Source organism: Homo sapiens, chromosome 6 (assembly GCF_000001405.40).
Source record: "Homo sapiens chromosome 6, GRCh38.p14 Primary Assembly".
In the NCBI taxonomy this organism is placed as follows: domain Eukaryota; kingdom Metazoa; phylum Chordata; class Mammalia; order Primates; family Hominidae; genus Homo; species Homo sapiens.
This window is the reverse complement of record NC_000006.12, coordinates 11,900,338-11,904,338: the sequence shown is the minus strand read 5'-3', so window position 1 is coordinate 11,904,338 and position 4,001 is coordinate 11,900,338. Positions and strand designations below refer to the sequence as shown.

General features: G+C 38.2%; 1 annotated feature.

The window, feature by feature from the left end:
• Positions 3,309-3,603: a silencer, noted in NCBI's record as "tiled region #316; HepG2 Repressive non-DNase unmatched - State 13:Ctcf". NCBI's record gives its function as "represses a minimal TATA promoter and a strong SV40 promoter by Sharpr-MPRA in HepG2 cells {active_cell/tissue: HepG2}" and the evidence as "EXISTENCE:reporter gene assay evidence [ECO:0000049][PMID:27701403]".

Genomic DNA, 4,001 nt, shown 5'->3' with positions numbered 1-4,001 from the left:
ATCCCTCTGTCCTCCAATCAACTCATTATTTTCATGCATTTTAAAGGAAATTGTAGACATAAATGTACTTCCTTCTAAGTATTTCAGCAGACATAATATTAACTAGAGTTCAATATCAATATACATTTTCTTCTTTTGATATAAAATAATCAAATGCATAAGTTTGAAACGTACAGTCACTGAGTTCTGACCAATGGTCACACCTGTATAACCAAAACTATGATTAAGATATAAAACATTACCATCTCCCCTTAGAGTTTCCTCATGTCTCTTCCAAGTCAATTCCTTCCCCCACCCGCAGAGACTGTTTTACCTTTTTTCCACCATAGATTAATTTTGCTATTTCCAGAGCTTGATATTAGTGGAATCAGCCACTGATATTAGTAAAGCCAGCATGTACTGTTTTGTATAAAACATGTTTCATCCAGCATAATGCTTTTGAGACATATCCATGTTGTTGCATGTATCAATAGTTTGTTTCTTTTTATTGATGAGTATGCATATACCCTTGTATGCATATATTACAACTAATCCATTCACCTATGGATCCATCCTGGACCATTTCCAGGTTTCGGTTAGTATGAAACAAGTTGTGAACATTCTCATATAAGTCATTTTGCTGATTACTGAGTCCCTTTTAAATTTTACTGTTAATATGTCATGGGATGCAAAGCTTAAAAAGACATTGTTCTTCTAAGCACATCTTACATAAATATCTCTGAACTCAGAGAAGCCTGCAACTCCTACCCAGAATGAATAGTTTTACATTTTCTTGGCTTTTATTATACATTCATGTATTTTCCTTTTCACTCTAAAGACTTTTTTTTTTTTTTTTTTTGAGACGGAGTCTCGCTCTGTCGCCCAGGCTGGAGTGCAGTGGTGGGATCTCGGCTCACTGCAAGCTCCGCCTCCCGGGTTCACGCCATTCTCCTGCCTCAGCCTCCCAAGTAGCTGGGACTACAGGCGCCCGCCACTACGCCCGGCTAATTTTTTGTATTTTTAGTAGAGACGGGGTTTCACCGTTTTAGCCGGGATGGTCTCGATCTCCTGACCTCGTGATCTGCCCGCCTCGGCCTCCCAAAGTGCTGGGATTACAGGCGTGAGCCACCGCGCCCGGCCCACTCTAAAGACTTTTGATGATAGACTACTAATATAATTAAAGGGTAATTTGTGCCTGACTTAATGGAATCTTGAATTATTTCATATTCTTAGGATAGAACTCATAGGGATAATAAAAAATGGAATCCAATGGTTTTATCTGAGTTGGAGGTCAGACCCAATAATCTATTAATGAAAATAAATATATTTCTAGGAAACAAAATAGTCTAAAGCCTTTGAAAAAGTGAAACTGCTACTTATTTTCACTTGGGGGTGGAAAATTTTTATGTAAAAGATTGCTGTTAATCTGTAAGTATTTGTTTTTCCCTTGTTTCTCAAAATTAGACCTCCTGAGTTTTAGCTGAGCTGGGCCCACCCAAAATAAAAACATTTCTCAGTATTTTATATACCTAGGTGTTTTCACATTATTAAATTCTGGCCAATAGGATAGAAGCTAACTGTTGTAAGTGTATGTGACTTCACTGCAGAGAGGGGAAACCCCAACAGAACCAGCCAGTTATAGTGAGTGGAGGAGGCAGAACTCAGTGTTCCAGAAGGCTGAGGTGACTAGAATTTGTGAGTCCGAGTATCAAGAAGAAGAACTGCACACATGAGCATCTCCAGAGATCTGCAGAGCATTCTGCTAGAGTCTCTCATTGAGTTCCCGCCAACACCTGGGTGGTGTTCAAACTCCATGAGGCCAAGGAAAGAACCACTAGAAAAGAGTAAGCCAAATGCTTCCCAGAGTTCATTCACATTGAGAAAAAATTGCTTTATCACCAGCCAGAAAGTAGAGACCTCATAAGGCAAGGGTTATTTGTTAACGTTCTCAGAGGAGTCCTGTCTTAGTACAATGACTTAATTAGCCCTAGAGTAAAAGCCACTCCATACCTGATCCAAAATTTGCTTATAAAGAACATAAACATATAGAACAGATGGGCAAAAAGTTTTAACAACATGCCACAGCAAAGTCCAGCACTCTTTACAGAAAGAAAACAAAATTCCAAACTCAAAAATGTAAAAATCTAAAATGTCTAACATCTAACCAAAACTTAAGAGGCATGCAATGAACCAAGAAAGTATGACCCATAACAACACAAAAGCCCCAAAACAAATAAACACAATAAAATCAGACCAAGAAATGACAGAATTGATGGAATTAGCAGACAAGAACTTTTTTAAAAGGCCCAAATGGAACTTCTATATGTGTGTGTGTGTATATATATACGTGTGTGTGTGTGTATATATATATGTATATGTGTGTGTATACATATATATATACATATATATACACACACACATATACATATATATATATGTAAAACTTCATCTTAAAACATTCACTGGAAGGAACTAATTAAACTTGTCCTTCTCCTAAAAATAAAAATCAGTGGACTTGAAAACACAGCAAGAGAAACCATCCAAACTCAATCACAGAGAGAAAAAACATTTGAGAAAATTAATAGACACTTAGTGACTTTTGGAAAGATATAAAGCATTCTAACATATGTATATTTGGCGTCTTGGAGGAGCAGGGCCACAGAGGGGAGGATGTCAAAATATTTAAACAAAAAATTGTCAGAAATGTTACAAATTTGATGAAAACTATAAACCTACAGATATAAAAAAGCCCCCAAAACCTTAAGTAGAATAAACATAAAAATAATGACACTAAGAACATGATATGCAATTACTAAAACACAGTGATAGAGAAAAATCATAAAAGCAGGCAGAGAAAAAAGACATTATGTACAGAACAACCAAGATAAGAACGACTGAATTCTCATCAGAAACCACGTAAGCCGGAATACAGTGCACCGACATTTTTAAAGTACTAAAATCACAAACCTATCAAACCAGAAAAAGCAAGTTAGGGTTTTCAGTTTTGCATGTAAGATAAGAAGCTTGGAAGTTGCCAGTCTGCCCTAACAGCATGTTAAAAGCTGAGCATACTGAAACATTAACAACTCTTCTATGATCTGAAAGAGAGGTAAGGACGTTATTCCCACGATTGGAGAGACAGACAGGCAAGTGCAGGGAGTTACCGTCTTCCAGAGCAGAGACTCACCTGTGGAAACCACTGTGGGGACCGGTGCTGGGGCAGGAAAACCTGAGCTCTAATTTACAAATTGCTGGAGAATCAGGGCGAACAAGCCTGAGAGTTAAAAACTCCGGAGCAACCCAGTCTAGAGCGACTACCAAATATTTGTGAGTTTCACCTCTAGGAGCTTGATCAGATTCTCACAGAAAATATCAGAGAAGAATCTCTTCATGCTTTCAGCAGGAGGTGAGCAAAAGGAACCATTTAAAACTACGCCAGAGCAATCTGTTCTTAACAAGGATTACCCTCGGGAGAAACTAGTTAACTATAGCCTCACCTGCTGGGGTATTGTCAGAGTCTAACTGACTTGGGGGAAGGGACATACCCAACTCTGGTCAACTCTAACCTTCCATGTGAAAGAAGGAAAATACCCAATTCCAGTGCACTCCATCCATTCTCTCCCACCTAAAAGGGGAGAGAAAAAAACAAACAAACAGAAAAACTTGAGAAGTTCACAGTTGAGACACAGGTCGAGTGAAAGACTGAAACTTAATCATAAGACTATAGAACACTTTCCCTGTCCCAACACATTAATAAAGCTTATTTACAGCAGTTCCTTTTACCCAGTACATCATGTCTGACTATCAAGAAAAAATTACAATGCATATTAAAAGGTAGAACCCCCCCACCCCAACAATTTGAAGAGACCAAGGAAGCCTCAGAACCAGACCTGGAAGGGATTTTGGAATCATCAGGCCAGACATTTCAAACAATTGTAATTGATACACTAAGGGCTGTAATGGATAAAGTAGATAACATGCAAGAACAGATGGACAATGTGAGCGGAGAAATGGAAATCCCA